Below are 16,226 nucleotides of genomic sequence, written 5' to 3'. Positions count from 1 at the left end.
TTTTTGTAGAATATCCAAGTGGATATTTGGACATCTCTGAGAATTTCGTGGGAAACGGGATAAACCTCACATAACTGAAGAGAAACATTCTCAGAACTTCTTTGTGATGTTGGCATTCAACTGACAGAGTTGAACCTTCCCTTGTGAGTTCAGGTTGAATCGCTCTTTTCGTAGTATCTGCAAGTGGAGATTTGGAACGCTTTGAGGCCTACGGTAGTAAAGGAAACAGCTTCATGTAAAAACTGGACAGAAGCATTCTCAGAAAATACTTTGGGATGATTGAGTTTAACTCACAGAGCTGAACATTCCTTTGGGTGGAGCAGTTTTGAAACACACTTTTTGTAGACTCTGCAGGTGGATATTTGGACCTCTCTGAGGATTTCGTTGGAAACGGGATAACGTCACCTAACTAAACACAAGCTTTCGCAGAAACATCCTTCTGACGTTGGCATTCAAAGTCCAGAGTTGAGCCTTCCTTTGGTAGTTCACGTTTGAAACACTCTTTTTGGAGGACCTGCAAGTGGATATTGGGAGCGCTTTGTGGCCTTCGTTCGAAACGGCCATATCTTCACATAAAATCTAGACAGAAGCCTTCTCAGAAACTTCTCTGTGATGATTGCATGCAACTCACAGAGTTGAACATTCCTTTTGATGGAGCAGTTTTGAAACTGTCTTTTGCTAGCATCTGCAAATGGATAGGTGGAACTCTGTGAAGACTTCTTTGGAAACGGGAATATCCTCACGTAAAAAGTAAACAGAAGCATTCTCAGAAACTCCTTTGTGAGGCTTGTGTTCAACTCCCAGAGTATAACATTGCTTTTCATAGAGCAGTTTTGAAACATTCTTTTCGTAGAGCCTCCAAGTGGACATTTGGAGCGCTTTCAGGCCTGCGGTGGAAAAGGAAATATCTTCACATAAAAACTAGAGAGAAGCATTGTCAGAAACTTCTTGGTGATGATTGCATTCAACTCACGGAGCTGAGGATTCCTTTTGATGCAGCAGTTTGGAAACACTCTTTCGGTGGAATCTGCAAGCGGATATGTGGACCTCTTTGAACATTTCGATGGAAAAGGGATAATCTTCCCATAAAAGCTAAACGGAAGCATGCTCAGGAACTTGTTTGTGATGTTTGCATTCAACTCACAGAGTTGTACTTTCCTTTTGATAGAGCAGCTTTGAAACCCTCTCTTTCTAGCATCTGCAAGGGGACATTTGGAGGGCTTCGAGGCCTGGGGTGGAAAAGGAAATGTCTTCTCATCAAAGCTACATGGAAGCATTCTCAGAAACTGGTTTGTGATGATTGCATTCAAGTCACCGAGTTGAACATTCCCTTTGATGGTTCCGTTTGGAAACACACTTTTGGTAGAATCTTAAAGGGGAGATTTGAACCGCTTTGAGGCCTATGGCAGTAGAGGATATAACTGCACATAAAAACGAGACAGGAGCATTCCCAGGAAACACTTTGTGACGATTGAGTTCAATTCACAGAGCTGAACATTCCTTTGGATGGAGCAGTTTCAAAACACACTTTTTGTAGAATCTGCAAGTGGAGATTTGGACCGCTCTGAGGATTTCATTGGATACGGGAGAAAACTCACCTATGTAAACAGAAGCATTCTCAGAACCTTCTTCGTGATGCTTGCATTCAACTCACAGTGTTCAAACTTTCTCTGATAGTTCAGGTTTTAAACACTCCTTCTGCAGAATCTGCAAGTGGAGATTTGGACCTCTTTGAGGCCTATCGTAGTAAAGGATATAACCTCATCTAAAAACAAGACAGAAGCATTCTCAGAAAATACTTTGTGATGATTGAGTTTAACACACAGAGCTGAGCATATCTTTTGATGGAGCATTTTGAAAACACACCTTTTGTAGAATATGCAAGTGGATTTTGGGACTTCTCTGAGAATTTCGTTGGAAACGGGATAAACCTCACATAACTGAAGAGGAACATTCTCAGAAGTTCTTGGTGACGTTGGCATTCAACTGACAGAGTTGAACCTTCCCTTGTGAGTTCAGGTTGAAACGCTCTTTCCGTACTATCTGCAAGTGGAGGTTTGGAACGCTTTGAAGCCTACGGTAGTAAAGGAAACAGCTTCATGTAAAAACTGGACAGAAGCCTTCTCAGAAAATACTTTGGGATGATTGAGTTCAACTCACAGAGCTGAACCTTCCTTTGGGTTGAGCAGTTTTGAAACACACTTTTTGTAGACTCTGCAGGTGGATATTTGGACCTCTCTGAGGATTTCGTTGGAAACGGGATAACGTCACCTAACTAAACAGAAGCTTCCGCAGAAACATCCTTCTGACGTTGGTCTTCAAAGTCCCGAGTTGAGCCTTCCTTTGGTAGTTCACGTTTGAAACACTCTTTTTGGAGGACCTGCAAGTGGATATTTGGAGCACTTTGTGGCCTTCGTTCGAAACGGCTATATCTTCACATAAAATCTAGACAGAAGCCTTCTCAGAAACTTCTCTGTGATGATTGCACGCAACTCACAGAGTTGAACATTCCTTTTGATAGAGCAGTTTTGAAACTCTCTAGTTTTGCTGGCATCTGCAAATGGATAGGTGTAACTCTGTGAAGACTTCTTTGGAGACGGGAATATCCTCACGTAAAAAGTAAACAGAAGCATTCTCAGAAACTCCTTTGTGAGGCTTGTGTTCAACTCCCAGAGTATAACATTGCTTTTCATAGAGCAGTTTTGAAACATTCTTTTCGTAGAGCCTCCAAGTGGACATTTGGAGCGCTTTCAGGCCTGTGGTGGAAAAGGAAATATCTTCACATAAAAACTAGAGAGAAGCATTGTCAGAAACTTCTTGGTGATGATTGCATTCAACTCACGGAGCTGAGGATTCCTTTTGATGCAGCAGTTTGGAAACACTCTTTCGGTGGAATCTGCAAGCGGATATGTGGACCTCTTTGAACATTTCGATGGAAAAGGGATAATCTTCCCGTAAAAGCTAAACGGAAGCATGCTCAGGAACTTCCTTGTGATGTTTGCATTCAACTCACAGCGTTGTACTTTCCTTTTGATAGAGCAGCTTTGAAACACCCTCTTTCTAGCATCTGCAAGGGGACATTTGGAGGGCTTCGAGGCCTGGGGTGGAAAAGGAAATATCTTCTCATCAAAGCTACATGGAAGCATTCTCAGAAGCTGCTTTGGGATGATTGCATTCAAGTCACCGAGTTGAACATTCCCTTTGATGGAGCCGTTTGGAAACACACTTTTGGTAGAATCTGAAAGGGGAGATTTGGACCGCTTTGAGGCCTATGGCAGTAGAGGATATAACTGCACATAAAAAGGAGACAGGAGCATTCCCAGGAAACACTTTGTGACGATTGAGTTCAATTCACAGAGCTGAACATTCCTTTGGATGGAGCAGTTTCAAAACACACTTTTTGTAGAATCTGCAAGTGGAGATTTGGACCGCTCTGAGGATTTCATTGGATACGGGAGAAAACTCACCTATGTAAACAGAAGCATTCTCAGAACCTTCTTCGTGATGCTTGCATTCAACTCACAGTGTTGAACCTTTCTCTGATAGTTCAGGTTTGAAACACTCCTTCTGCAGAATCTGCAAGTGGAGATTTGGACCTCTTTGAGGCCTATCGTAGTAAAGGAAAGAACTTCATCTAAAAACAAGACAGAAGCATTCTCAGAAAATTCTTTGTGATGATTGAGTTTAACTCACAGAGCTGAGCATATCTTTTGATGGATACGGGAGAAAACTCACCTATATAAACAGAAGCATTCTCAGAACCTTCTTCGTGATGCTTGCTTTCAACTCACAGTGTTCAACCTTTCTCTGATAGTTCAGGTTTTAAACACTCCTTCTGCAGAATCTGCAAGTGGAGATTTGAACCTCTTTGAGGCCTATCGTAGTAAAGGATGTAACCTCATCTAAAAACAAGACAGAAGCATTCTCAGAAAATTCTTTGTGATGATTGAGTTTAACAAACAGAGCTGAGCATATCTTTTGATGGAGCATTTTCAAAACACACTTTTTGTAGAATCTCCAAGTGGATATTTGGACTTCTCTGAGAATTTCGTTGGAAACGGGATAAACCTCACATAACTGAAGAGAAACATTCTCAGAATTCTTTGTGATGTTGGCATTCAACTGACAGAGTTGAACCTTCCCTTGTGAGTTCAGGTTGAATCGCTCTTTTCGTAGTATCTGCAAGTGGAGATTTGGAACGCTTTGAGGCCTACGGTAGTAAAGGAAACAGCTTCATGTAAAAACTGGACAGAAGCATTCTCAGAAAATACTTTGGGATGATTGAGTTTAACTCACAGAGCTGAACATTCCTTTGGGTGGAGCAGTTTTGAAACACACTTTTTGTAGACTCTGCAGGTGGATATTTGGACCTCTCTGAGGATTTCGTTGGAAACGGGATAACGTCACCTAACTAAACAGAAGCTTTCGCAGAAAAATCTTTCTGACGTTTGCATTCAAAGTCCAGAGTTGAGCCTTCCTTTGGTAGTTCACGTTTGAAACACTCTTTTTGGAGGACATGCAAGTGGATATTTGGAGCACTTTGTGGCCTTCGTTCGAAACGGCTATATCTTCACATAAAATCTAGACAGAAGCCTTCTCAGAAACTTCTCTGTGATGATTGCATGCAACTCACAGAGTTGAACATTCCTTTTGATAGAGCAATTTTGAAACTCTCTTTTGCTAGCATCTGCAAATGGATAGGTGGAACTCTGTGAAGACTTCTTTGGAAACGGGAATATCCTCACGTAAAAAGTAAACAGAAGCATTCTCAGAAACTCCTTTGTGGGGCTTGTGTTCAACTCCCAGAGTATAACATTGCTTTTCATAGAGCAGTTTTGAAACATTCTTTTCGTAGAGCATCCAGGTGGACATTTGGAACGCTTTCAGGCCTGTGTTGGAAAAGGAAATATCTTCACATAAAAACTAGAGAGAAGCATTGTCAGAAACCTCTTGGTGATGATTGCATTCAACTCACGGAGCTGAGGATTCCTTTTGATGCAGCTGTTTGGAAACACTCTTTCGGTGGAATCTGCAAGCGGATATGTGGACCTCTTTGAACATTTCGATGGAAAAGGGATAATCTTCCCGTAAAAGCTAAACGGAAGCATGCTCAGGAACTTCTTTGTGAAGTTTGCATTCAACTCACAGAGTTGTACTTTCCTTTTGATAGAGCAGCTTTGAAACCCTCTCTTTCTAGCATCTGCAAGGGGACATTTGGAGGGCTTCGAGGCCTGGGGTGGAAAAGGAAATATCTTCTCATAAAAGCTACATGGAAGCATTCTCAGAAACTGGTTTGTGATGATTGCATTCAAGTCACCGAGTTGAACATTCCCTTTGATGGAGCCGTTTGGAAACACACTTTTGGTAGAATCTGAAAGGGGAGATTTGGACCGCTTTGAGGCCTATGGCAGTAGAGGATATAACTGCACATAAAAAGGAGACAGGAGCATTCCCAGGAAACACTTTGTGACGATTGAGTTCAATTCACAGAGCTGAACATTCCTTTGGATGGAGCAGTTTCAAAACACACTTTTTGTAGAATCTGCAAGTGGAGATTTGGACCGCTCTGAGGATTTCATTGGATACGGGAGAAAACTCACCTATGTAAACAGAAGCATTCTCAGAACCTTCTTCGTGATGCTTGCATTCAACTCACAGTGTTGAACCTTTCTCTGATAGTTCAGGTTTGAAACACTCCTTCTGCAGAATCTGCAAGTGGAGATTTGGACCTCTTTGAGGCCTATCGTAGTAAAGGAAAGAACTTCATCTAAAAACAAGACAGAAGTATTCTCAGAAAATTCTTTGTGATGATTGAGTTTAACTCACAGAGCTGAGCATATCTTTTGATGGATACGGGAGAAAACTCACGTATGTAAACAGAAGCATTCTCAGAACCTTCTTCCTGATGCTTGCATTCAACTCACAGTGTTGAAGCTTTCTCTGATAGTTCAGGTTTTAAACACTCCTTCTGCAGAATCTGCAAGTCGAGATTTGGACCTCTTTGAGGCCTATCGTAGTAAATGAAAGAACTTCATCTAAAAACAAGACAGAAGCATTCTCAGAAAATTCTTTCTGATGATTGGGTTTAACTCACAGAGCTGAGCATATCTTTTGATGGATACGGGAGAAAACACACCTATGTAAACAGAAGCATTCTCAGAACCTTCTTCGTGATGCTTGCATTCAACTCACAGTGTTGAACCTTTCTCTGATAGTTCAGGTTTTAAACACTCCTTCGGCAGAATCTGCAAGTGGAGATTTGGACCTCTTTGAGGCCTATCGTAGTAAAGGAAAGAACTTCATCTAAAAACAAGACAGAAGCATTCTGAGAAAATTCTTTGTGATGATTGAGTTTAACTCACACAGCTGAGCATATCTTTTGATGGATACGGGAGAAAACTCACCTATATAAACAGAAGCATTCTCAGAACCTTCTTCGTGATGCTTGCATTCAACTCACAGTGTTCAACCTTTCTCTGATAGTTCAGGTTTTAAACACTCCTTCTGCAGAATCTGCAAGTGGAGATTTGGACCTCTTTGAGGCCTATCGTAGTAAAGGAAAGAACTTCATCTAAAAACAAGACAGAAGCATTCTCAGAAAATTCTTTGTGATGATTGAGTTTAACACACAGAGCTCAGCATATCTTTTGATGGAGCATTTTCAAAACACACTTTTTGTAGAATATCCAAGTGGATATTTGGACTTCTCTGAGAATTTCGTTGGAAACGGGATAAACCTCACATAGCTGAGGAGAAACATTCTCAGAACTTCTTTGTAATGTTGGCATTCAAATGACAGAGTTGAACCTTCCCTTGTGAGTTCAGGCTGAATCGCTCTTTTCGTAGTATCTGCAAGTGGAGATTTGGAACGCTTTGAGGCCTACGGTAGTAAAGGAAACAGCTTCATGTAAAAACTGGACAGAAGCATTCTCAGAAAATACTTTGTGATGATTGAGTTTAACTCACAGAGCTGAACATTCCTTTGGGTGGAGCAGTTTTGAAACACACTTTTTGTAGACTCTGCAGGTGGGTATTTGGACCTCTCTGAGGATTTCGTTGGAAACGGGATAACGTCACCTAACTAAACAGAAGCTTTCGCAGAAACATCTTTCTGACGTTTGCATTGAAAGTCCAGAGTTGAACCTTCCTTTGATAGTTCACGTTTGAAACACTCTTTTTGGAGGACCTGCAAGTGGACATTTGGAGCACTTTGTGGCCTTCGTTCGAAACAGGTATATCTTCACATAAAATCTAGACAGAAGCCTTCTCAGAAACTTCTCTGTGATGATTGCATTCAACTCACAGATTTGAACATTTCTTTTGACAGAGCAGTTTTGAAACTCTCTTTTTCTAGCATCTGCAAATGGATACGTGGAACTCTGTGAAGATTTCTTTGGAAACGGGAATATCCTCACGTAAAATGTAAACAGAAGCCTTCTCGGAAACTACTTTGGGAGGCTTGTGTTCAACTCCCAGAGTATAACATTGCTTTTCATAGAGCAGTTTTGAAACATTCTTTTCGTAGATTCTCCAAGTGGACATTTGGAGCGCTTTCAGGCCTGTGGTGGAAAAGGAAATATCTTCACATAAAAACTAGAGAGAAGCATTGTCAGAAACTTCTTTGTGATGATTGCATGGAACTCACGGAGTTGAGGATTCCTTTTGATACAGCAGTTTGGAAACACACTTTCGGTGGAATCTGCAAGCGGATATGCGGACCTCTTTGAACATTTCGATGGAAAAGGGATAATCTTTCCATAAAAGCTAAACGGAAGCATGCTCAGGAACTTCTTTTTGATGTTTGCATTCAACTCACAGAGTTGTACTTTCCTTTTGATAGAGCAGCTTTGAAACCCTCTCTTTCTGGCATCTGCAAGGGGACATTTGGAGGGCTTCGAGGCCTGGGGTGGAAAAGGAAATATCTTCTCATAAAAGCTACATGGAAGCATTCTCAGAAACTGCTTTGTGATGATTGCATTCAAGTCACAGAGTTGAACATTCCCTTTGATAGAGCCATTTGGAAACACACTTTTGGTAGAATCTGAAAGGGGAGATTTGGACCGCTGTGAGGCCTATGGCAGTAGAGGATATAACTGCACATAAAAACTAGACAGTAGCATTCCCAGGAAACACTTTTTGACGATTGAGATCAACTCACAGAGCTGAACATTCCTTTGGATGGAGCAGTTTCAAAACACACTTTTTGTAGAATCTGCAAGTGGATATTTGGACCTCTCTGAGGATTTCATTGGATAAGGTAGAAAACTCACCTATCTAAACAGAAGCATTCTCAGAACCTCCTTCGTGATGCTTGCATTCAACTCACAGTGTTGAACCTTTCTCTCATAGTTCAGGTTTGAAACACTCCTTCTGCAGAATCTGCAAGTGGAGATTTGGACCACTTTGAGGCCTATCGTAGTAAAGGAGAGAACTTCATCTAAAAACTAGACAGAAGCATTCTCAGAAAATTCTTTGTGATGATTGAGTTTAACTCACAGAGCTGAGCATATCTTTTGATGGAGCATTTTCAAAACACACTTTTTGTAGATTATGCAAGTGGATATTTGGACATCTCTGAGAATTTCGTTGGAAACGGTATAAACCTCACATAACTGAAGAGAAGCATTCTGAGAACTTCTTTGTGATGTTGGTATTCAACTGACAGAGTTGAACCTTCCCTTGTGAGTTCAGGTTGAATCGCTCTTTTCGTAGTATCTGCAAGTGGAGATTTGGAATGCTTTGAGGATTACGGTAGTAAAGGAAACAGCTTCATGTAAAAACTGGACAGAAGCATTCTCAGAAAATACTTTGGGATGATTGAGTTTAACTCACAGAGCTGAGCATTCCTTTGGGTGGAGCAGTTTTGAAACACACTTTTTGTAGACTCTGCAGGTGGATATTTGGACCTCTCTGAGGATTTCTTTGGAAACGGGATAACGTCACCTAACTAAACAGAAGCTTTCGCAGAAACATCTTTCTGACGTTTGCATTCAAAGTCCAGAGTTGAACCTTCCTTTGATAGTTCACGTTTGAAACACTCTTGTTGGAGGACCTGCAAGTGGATATTTGGAGCACTTTGTGGTCTTCGTTCGAAACGGGTATATCTTCACATAAAATCTAGACAGAAGCCTTCTCAGAAACTTCTCTGTGATGATTGCATTCAACTCACAGAGTTGAACAGTCCTTTTGATAGAGCAGTTTTGAAACTCTCTTTTTCTAGCATCTGCAAATGGATAGGTGGAACTCTGTGAAGACTTCTTTGCAAACGGGAATATCTTCACGTAAAAAGTAAACAGAAGCATTTTCAGAAACTCCTTTGTGAGGCTTGTGTTCAACTCCCAGAGTAGAACATTGCTTTTCATAGAGCAGTTTTGAAACATTCCTTTCGTAGGGTCTGCAAGTGGACATTTTGAGCGCTTTCAGGCCTGCGGTGGAAAAGGAAATATCTTCACATAAAAACTAGAGAGAAGCATTGTCAGAAACTTCTTTGTGATGATTGCATTCACCTCACTGAGTTGAACATTCGTTTTGATACAGCAGTTTGGAATCACTCTTTCGGTGGAATCTGCAAGCTGATATTTGGACCTCTTTGAAGATTTCGATGGAAAAGGGATAATCTTCCCATAAAAGCTAAACGGAAACATTCTCAGAAACTTCTTTGTGATGTTTGCATTCAACTCACAGAGTTGTACTTTCCTTTAGATAGAGCCGCTTTGAAACCCTCTCTTTCTAGAACCTGCAAGTGGACATTTGGAGGGCTTCGCGGCCTGTGGTGGAAAAGGAAATATCTTCCCATAAAAGCTAGATGGAAGCATTCTCAGAAACTACATTGTGATGATTGCATTCACGTCACAGAGTTGAACACTCCGTTTGATAGAGCCGTTTGGAAACACACTTTTGGTAGAATCTGCAAGGGGAGATTTGGACCGTTTGAGGCGTACGGCCATAGAGGAAATAACTACATATAAAAACTAGACAGTAGCATTCCCAGGAAACACTTTGTGACGATTGAGTTCAACTCACAGAGCTGAACATTCCTTTGGATGGAGCAGTTTTGAAACACACTTTTTGTAGAATCTGCAAATGGATATTTGGACCTCTCTGAGGATTTCGTTGGAAACGGGATAACGTCCCCTAACTAAACAGAAGGTTTCGCAGAAACTACTTTGTGATGTTTGCATTCAAAGCCCAGAGTTGAACCTTCCTTTGATAGTTCACGTTTGAAACACTCTTTTTGCAGGATCTGCAAGTGGATATTTGGAGCCCTTTGTGGCCTTCATTCGAAACGGTTATATCTTCACATAAAATCTAGACAGAAGCCTTCTCAGAAACTTCTCTGTGATGATTGCATGCAACTCACAGTGTTGAACATTCCTTTTGATAGAACAGTTTTGAAACTCTCTTTGTGTAGAATCTGCAAGTGGATATGTGGACCTCTGTGAAGATTTCCTTGGAAACAAGAATATCTTCACATAAAAAGTAAACAGAAGCATTCTCAGAAACTTCTTTGTGAGGCTTGTGTTCAACTCCCAGAGTTTAACATTGCTCTTCATAGAGCAGTTTTGAAACATTCTTTTTGTAATGTCTGCAAGTGGACATTTAGAGCGCTTTCAGGCCTGTTGTGGCAAAGGAAATATCTTCACATAAAAACTAGAGAGAAGCATTGTCAGAAACTTCTTTGTGATGATTGCATTCAACTCACGGAGTTGAAGATTCCTTTTGATACAGCAGTTTGGAAACACTCTTTCGGTGGAATCTGCAGGCGGATATTTGGACCTCTTTGAAGATTTCGATGGAAAAGGGATAATCTTCCGAAAAGCTAAACGAAAGCATTCTCAGAAACTTCTTTGTGATGTTTGCATTCAACTCACAGAGTTGTACTTTCCTTTTGATAGAGCAGCTTTGAAACCCTCTCTTTCTAGAATCTGCAAGTGGACATTTGGAGGGCTTCGAGGCATGTGGTCGAAAAGGAAATATCTTTTCATAAAAGCTACATGGAAGAATTCTCAGAACCTACTTTGTGATGATTGCATTCAAGTCACAGAGTTGAACATTCCGTTTGATAGAGCCGTTTGCAAACACACTTTTGGTAGAATCTGAAAGGGGAGATTGGGACCGCTTTCTGGCCTACGGCAGCAGAGGAAATAACTACATATAAAAACAAGACAGTAGCATTCTCAGGAAACACTTTGTGACCATTAAGTTCAACTCACCTTGCTGAACATTCCTTTGGATGGAGCAGTTTCGAAACACACTTTTTGTAGAATCTGCAAGTGGATATTTGGACCTCTCTGAGGATTTCGTTGGAAACGGGATAAACCTCTCTTATCTAAACAGAAGCATTCTCAGAACCTTTTTCCTGATGTTTGCATTCAACTCACAGTGTTGAACATTGCTCTGATAGTTCAGGTTTGAAACACACTTTCTGTAGAATCTGCAAGTGGAGATTTGGACCTCTTTGAGGCCTATCGTAGTAAGGGAAATAACTTCATCGTAAAACAAGACAGAAGCATTCTCAGAAACTTCTTTGTGATGTTGTCATTCAACTCACAGGTTTGAACCTTCTCTTGTGAGTTCAGGTTGAAACTCTCTTTTTGTAGAATCTGCAAGTGGAGATTTGGACCACTTGGAGTCCTACGGTAGTAAAGGAAATAGCTTCATCTAAAAACTGGACAGAAGCATTCTTAGAAAATTCTTTCTGATGATTGAATTTAACTCACAGAGCACAACATGCCTTTGGATGGAGCAGTTTTGAAACACACTTTTTGTAGAATCTGCAAGTGGATATTTGGACCTCTCTGAGGATTTCGTTGGAAACGGGATAACGTCACCTAACTAAACAGAAGCTTTCGCAGAAACTTCTTTGTGATGTTTGCATTCAAAGCCCAGAGTTGAACCTTCCTTTGATAGTTCACTTTTGAAACACTCTTTTTGAAGGATCTGCAAGTGGATATTTGGAGCACTTTGTGGCCTTCGTTCGAAACGGGTATATCTTCACATAAAATCTAGACAGAAGCCTTCTCAGAAACTTCTCTGTGATGATTGCATGCAACTCACAGAGTTGAACATTCCTTTTGATAGAGCAGTTTTGAAACTCTCTTTTTGTAGAATCCGCAAGTGGATATGTGGACCTCTGTGAAGATTTCTTTGGAAACGGGAATATCTTCACATAAAAAGTAAACCGAAGCATTCTCAGAAACTTCTTTGTGAGGCTTGTGTTCAACTCCCAGAGTTTAACATTGCTTTTCAGAGAGCAGTTTTGAAACATTCCTTTCGTAGAGTCTGCAAGTGGACATTTGGAGCGCTTTCAGGCCTGATATCTTCACATAAAATCTAGAGAGAAGCATTGTCAGAAACTTCTTTGGATTGATTGCATTCAACTCACGGAGCTGAAGATTCCTTTTGATACAGCAGTTTGGAATCACTCTTTCGGTGGAATCTGCAAGTGGATATTTGGACCTCTTTGAAGATTTCGATGGAAAAAGGATAATCTTCCCATAAAAGCTAAACGGAAGCATTCTCAGAAACTTCTTTGTGATGTTTGCATTCAACTCACAGAGTTGTACTTTCCTTTTCATAGAGCAGCTATGAAACCCTCTCTTTCTAGAATCTGTAAGTGGACATTTGGAGGGCTTCGAAGCCTGTGGTGGAAAAGGAAATATCTTCTCATAAAAGCTAGATGGAAGCATTCTCAGAAACTACTTTGTGATGATTGCATTCAAGTCACAGAGTTTAACATTCCCTTTGATAGAGCCGTTTGGAAACACACTTTTGGTAGAATCTGCAAGGGGAGATTTGGACCGCTTTGAGGCCTATGGCAGTAGAGGATATAACTGCACATATGAAAACTAGACAGTAGCATTCTCAGGAAACAATTTGTGACGATTGAGTTCAACTCACAGAGGTGAACATTCCTTTGGATGGAGCAGTTTTGAAACACAGTTTTTGTAGAATCTGCAAGTGGATATTTGGACCTCTCTGAGGATATCGTTGGAAACGGGATAAACCTCACCTATCTAAACAGAAGCATTCTCAGAACCTTCTTCGTGATGTTTGCATTCAACTCACAGTGTTGATCCTTTCTCTGATAATTCAGGTTTGAAACACTCTTTCTGTAGAATCTGCAAGTGGAGATTTGGACCTCTTTGAGGCCTATCGTGGTAAAGGAAATAACTTCATCTAAAAACAAGACAGAAGCATTCTCAGAAAATTCTTTGTGATGTTGGCATTCCACTCACAGGGTTGAACCTTCCTTTCTGAGTTCTGGTTGAAACACTCTTTTTGTAGAATCTGCAAGTGGAGATTTGGACTGCTTGGAGGCCTACGGTAGTAAAGGAAATAGCTTCATGTAAAAACTGGACAGAAGCATTCTCAGAAAATACTTTGTGATGATTGAATTTAACTCACAGATCTGAACGTGCCTTTGGATGGAGCAGTTTTGAAACACACTTTTTGTAGAATCTGCAAGTGGATATTTGGACCTCTCTGAGGATTTTGTTGGAAACGGGATAACATCATCTAACTAAACAGAAGCTTTCCCAGAAACTTCTTTGTAATGTTTGCATTCAAAGCCCAGAGTTGAACCTTCCTTTGTTAGTTCACGTTTGTAACACTCTTTTTGTAGGATCTGCATGTGGATATTTGGAGCACTTTGTGGCCTTCATTCGAAACGGGTATATCTTCACGTAAAATCTAGACGGAAGCCTTCTCAGAAACTGCTTTGTGATGATTGCATTCAACTCGCAGAGTTGAACATTCCTTTTGATACAGCAGTTTTGAAACTCTCTTTTTGTAGAATCTGCAAGTGGATATGTGGACCTCTGTGAAGATTTCTTTGGAAACGGGAATATCTTCACATAAAAAATAAACAGAAGCATTCTCAGAAACTTCTTTGTGAGGCTTGTGGTCAACTCCCAGAGTTTAACATTGCTTTTCATAGAGCAGTTTTGAAGCATTCTTTTCGTAGAGTCTGCAAGTGGACATTTACAGCGCTTTCAGGCCTGTGGTGGAAAAGGAAATATCTTCACATAAAAACTAGGGAGAAGCATTGTCAGAAACTTCTTTGTGATGATTGCATTGAACTCACGGAGTTGAAGATTCCTTTTGATACAGCAGTTTGGAATCACTCTTTCGGTGGAATCTGCAAGCGGATATTTGGACCTCTTTGAAGATTTCGATGGAAAAGGGATAATCTTCCCATAAAAGCTACACTGAAGTATTCTCAGAAACTTCTTTGTGGTGTTTGCATTCAACTCACAGAGTTGTACTTTCTTTTTGATAGAGCAGCCTTGAAACCCTCTCTTTCTAGAATCTGCAAATGGACATTTGGAGGGCTTCGAGGCCTGTGGTGGGAAAGGAAATATCTTCTCATAAAAGCTAGATGGAAGCATTCTCAGAAACTACTTTTTTGATGATTGCATTCAAGTCACAGAGTTGAACATTCCCTTTGATAGAGCCGTTTGGAAACACACTTTTGGTAGAATCTGAAAGGGGAGATTTGGACCGCTTTCAGGCCTACGGCAGCAGAGCAAATAACTACATATAAAAACAAGACAGTAGCATTCTCAGGAAACAATTTGTGACGATTGAGTTCAACTCACAGAGCTGAACATTCCTTTGGATGGAGCAGTTTCAAAACACACTTTTTGTAGAATCTGCAAGTGGATATTTGGACCTCTCTGAGGATTTCGTTGGAAACGGGAGAAACCTCACCTATCTAAACAGAAGCATTCTCAGAACCTTCTTCGTGATGTTTGCATTCAACTCACAGTGTTGAACCTTCCTCTGATAGTTCAGGTTTGAAACACTCTTTCTGTAGAATCTGCAAGTGGAGATTTGGACCTCTTTGAGGCCTATCGTAGTAAAGGAAATATCTTCATCTAAAAAGAAGACAGATGCATTCTCAGAAAATTCTTTGTGATGATTGAGTTTAACTCACAGAGCTGAGCATTCCTTTTGATGGAGCAGTTTCGAAACACACTTTTTTTAGAATATGCAAGTGGATATTTGGACTTCTCTGAGGATTTCATTGGAAACGGGATAAACCTCACTTAACTAAACAGAAGCATTCTCAGAAACTTCTTTGTGATGTTGGCATTCAACTCACAGATTTGAACCTTCCTTTGTGAGTTGAGGTTGAGACACTCTTTTTGTAGAATCTGCAAGTGGAGATTTGGACCGCTTTGGGGCCTACGGTAGTAAAGGAAATAGCTTCCTGTAAAAACTGGACAGAAGCATTCTCAGAAAATACTTTGTGACGATTGAGTTTAACTCATAGAGCTGAACATTCCTTTGCATGGAGCAGTTTTGAAACACACTTTTTGTAGAATCTGCAAGTGGATATTTCGACCTCTCTGAGGATTTCGTTGGAAATGGGATAACGTCACCTAACTAAACAGAAGCATTGGCAGAAACTTCTTTGGGATGTTTGCATTTTATGTTTGTTGAAATAGAGAGTTGATGACTGGAGCTCATTCAGGCATTTCAGTTCCTGAGGCGGAAGTCCTAGTCTGAGTATGATTGAACAGAAAGAGAGAGGAGCTTTGGTCCCTGATAATTTTATGAATTTCAACAGGATGCCTTTATCTTGATGTCTTTATATGAAAGCGAATCAATCTGTATCTTTCCTGGAAAGAGACAGAGAGAGACGGAGAGGGAGAGAGGGAGAGAGAGAGAAAGAGGGAGGGACCGAGAATATACATATATATGTTCTAGTGCTTCTGCTTACATTCCATTGAATGGACTTCTGCTTACACTTCTGATTACATTCCATTAAATAGAATTTAATCTTGTGGCTAACTCTAGCTCTGAGATAAATAAGAAAATGTAGTTTTTATTCTAATTATTTGTGAATACATCAGGGGTGCAATTTCCCAAAAAGAATAATTACTATGCTTTGGAGGAATATGAGTAGACTCCAACATAAGAAGCCATTGGGTGGTGTTGAGCACAGGCATGACACAAACTGATTTAGATCATGAAAGGATCCCTTGGACTGCTGCGTGACGAATGGAGGAGTCTAGAGTTGAAGCAGGTAGACCAGCTAGAAGTCTATGATAGCAATCTAAATTCTATGAAGGTCATCTTAGTAGTGGTTTAATAGACATGTAATTAGAAGATATTTGTTATAATGTTTACTTTGGAACTGGCCAAATATCAGTTACTGACCCTAGTTCCTGAAGTTTTTATTGCCTTGATTATTCACTTAATATTTACTTCAAAAAACA

At 40.4% G+C, this 16,226-nt stretch overlaps 14 annotated features.

The window, feature by feature from the left end:
• Positions 6,868–7,433: an enhancer, noted in NCBI's record as "OCT4-NANOG-H3K27ac hESC enhancer chr1:121359589-121360154 (GRCh37/hg19 assembly coordinates)". NCBI's record gives its function as "activates a minimal SCP1, AML or CMV promoter by ChIP-STARR-seq in naive H9 embryonic stem cells {active_cell/tissue: H9 hESC(naive)}" and the evidence as "EXISTENCE:reporter gene assay evidence [ECO:0000049][PMID:30033119]".
• Positions 7,434–7,999: an enhancer, noted in NCBI's record as "OCT4-NANOG-H3K27ac-H3K4me1 hESC enhancer chr1:121359023-121359588 (GRCh37/hg19 assembly coordinates)". NCBI's record gives its function as "activates a minimal SCP1, AML or CMV promoter by ChIP-STARR-seq in naive H9 embryonic stem cells {active_cell/tissue: H9 hESC(naive)}" and the evidence as "EXISTENCE:reporter gene assay evidence [ECO:0000049][PMID:30033119]".
• Positions 8,000–8,567: an enhancer, noted in NCBI's record as "OCT4-NANOG-H3K27ac-H3K4me1 hESC enhancer chr1:121358455-121359022 (GRCh37/hg19 assembly coordinates)". NCBI's record gives its function as "activates a minimal SCP1, AML or CMV promoter by ChIP-STARR-seq in naive and primed H9 embryonic stem cells {active_cell/tissue: H9 hESC(naive and primed)}" and the evidence as "EXISTENCE:reporter gene assay evidence [ECO:0000049][PMID:30033119]".
• Positions 8,568–9,133: an enhancer, noted in NCBI's record as "OCT4-NANOG-H3K27ac-H3K4me1 hESC enhancer chr1:121357889-121358454 (GRCh37/hg19 assembly coordinates)". NCBI's record gives its function as "activates a minimal SCP1, AML or CMV promoter by ChIP-STARR-seq in naive and primed H9 embryonic stem cells {active_cell/tissue: H9 hESC(naive and primed)}" and the evidence as "EXISTENCE:reporter gene assay evidence [ECO:0000049][PMID:30033119]".
• Positions 9,134–9,701: an enhancer, noted in NCBI's record as "OCT4-NANOG-H3K27ac-H3K4me1 hESC enhancer chr1:121357321-121357888 (GRCh37/hg19 assembly coordinates)". NCBI's record gives its function as "activates a minimal SCP1, AML or CMV promoter by ChIP-STARR-seq in naive and primed H9 embryonic stem cells {active_cell/tissue: H9 hESC(naive and primed)}" and the evidence as "EXISTENCE:reporter gene assay evidence [ECO:0000049][PMID:30033119]".
• Positions 9,702–10,267: an enhancer, noted in NCBI's record as "OCT4-NANOG-H3K27ac-H3K4me1 hESC enhancer chr1:121356755-121357320 (GRCh37/hg19 assembly coordinates)". NCBI's record gives its function as "activates a minimal SCP1, AML or CMV promoter by ChIP-STARR-seq in naive and primed H9 embryonic stem cells {active_cell/tissue: H9 hESC(naive and primed)}" and the evidence as "EXISTENCE:reporter gene assay evidence [ECO:0000049][PMID:30033119]".
• Positions 10,268–10,835: an enhancer, noted in NCBI's record as "OCT4-NANOG-H3K27ac-H3K4me1 hESC enhancer chr1:121356187-121356754 (GRCh37/hg19 assembly coordinates)". NCBI's record gives its function as "activates a minimal SCP1, AML or CMV promoter by ChIP-STARR-seq in primed H9 embryonic stem cells {active_cell/tissue: H9 hESC(primed)}" and the evidence as "EXISTENCE:reporter gene assay evidence [ECO:0000049][PMID:30033119]".
• Positions 10,836–11,401: an enhancer, noted in NCBI's record as "OCT4-NANOG-H3K27ac-H3K4me1 hESC enhancer chr1:121355621-121356186 (GRCh37/hg19 assembly coordinates)". NCBI's record gives its function as "activates a minimal SCP1, AML or CMV promoter by ChIP-STARR-seq in naive and primed H9 embryonic stem cells {active_cell/tissue: H9 hESC(naive and primed)}" and the evidence as "EXISTENCE:reporter gene assay evidence [ECO:0000049][PMID:30033119]".
• Positions 11,402–11,968: an enhancer, noted in NCBI's record as "OCT4-NANOG-H3K27ac-H3K4me1 hESC enhancer chr1:121355054-121355620 (GRCh37/hg19 assembly coordinates)". NCBI's record gives its function as "activates a minimal SCP1, AML or CMV promoter by ChIP-STARR-seq in naive and primed H9 embryonic stem cells {active_cell/tissue: H9 hESC(naive and primed)}" and the evidence as "EXISTENCE:reporter gene assay evidence [ECO:0000049][PMID:30033119]".
• Positions 11,969–12,535: an enhancer, noted in NCBI's record as "OCT4-NANOG-H3K27ac-H3K4me1 hESC enhancer chr1:121354487-121355053 (GRCh37/hg19 assembly coordinates)". NCBI's record gives its function as "activates a minimal SCP1, AML or CMV promoter by ChIP-STARR-seq in naive and primed H9 embryonic stem cells {active_cell/tissue: H9 hESC(naive and primed)}" and the evidence as "EXISTENCE:reporter gene assay evidence [ECO:0000049][PMID:30033119]".
• Positions 12,536–13,102: an enhancer, noted in NCBI's record as "OCT4-NANOG-H3K27ac-H3K4me1 hESC enhancer chr1:121353920-121354486 (GRCh37/hg19 assembly coordinates)". NCBI's record gives its function as "activates a minimal SCP1, AML or CMV promoter by ChIP-STARR-seq in naive and primed H9 embryonic stem cells {active_cell/tissue: H9 hESC(naive and primed)}" and the evidence as "EXISTENCE:reporter gene assay evidence [ECO:0000049][PMID:30033119]".
• Positions 13,669–14,235: an enhancer, noted in NCBI's record as "OCT4-NANOG-H3K27ac-H3K4me1 hESC enhancer chr1:121352787-121353353 (GRCh37/hg19 assembly coordinates)". NCBI's record gives its function as "activates a minimal SCP1, AML or CMV promoter by ChIP-STARR-seq in primed H9 embryonic stem cells {active_cell/tissue: H9 hESC(primed)}" and the evidence as "EXISTENCE:reporter gene assay evidence [ECO:0000049][PMID:30033119]".
• Positions 14,236–14,802: an enhancer, noted in NCBI's record as "OCT4-NANOG-H3K27ac-H3K4me1 hESC enhancer chr1:121352220-121352786 (GRCh37/hg19 assembly coordinates)". NCBI's record gives its function as "activates a minimal SCP1, AML or CMV promoter by ChIP-STARR-seq in naive and primed H9 embryonic stem cells {active_cell/tissue: H9 hESC(naive and primed)}" and the evidence as "EXISTENCE:reporter gene assay evidence [ECO:0000049][PMID:30033119]".
• Positions 14,803–15,370: an enhancer, noted in NCBI's record as "OCT4-NANOG-H3K27ac-H3K4me1 hESC enhancer chr1:121351652-121352219 (GRCh37/hg19 assembly coordinates)". NCBI's record gives its function as "activates a minimal SCP1, AML or CMV promoter by ChIP-STARR-seq in naive and primed H9 embryonic stem cells {active_cell/tissue: H9 hESC(naive and primed)}" and the evidence as "EXISTENCE:reporter gene assay evidence [ECO:0000049][PMID:30033119]".

This window comes from Homo sapiens, chromosome 1, assembly GCF_000001405.40.
Source record: "Homo sapiens chromosome 1, GRCh38.p14 Primary Assembly".
Lineage (NCBI taxonomy): Eukaryota > Metazoa > Chordata > Mammalia > Primates > Hominidae > Homo > Homo sapiens.
This window is presented reverse-complemented; position numbering and strand designations above follow the sequence as displayed.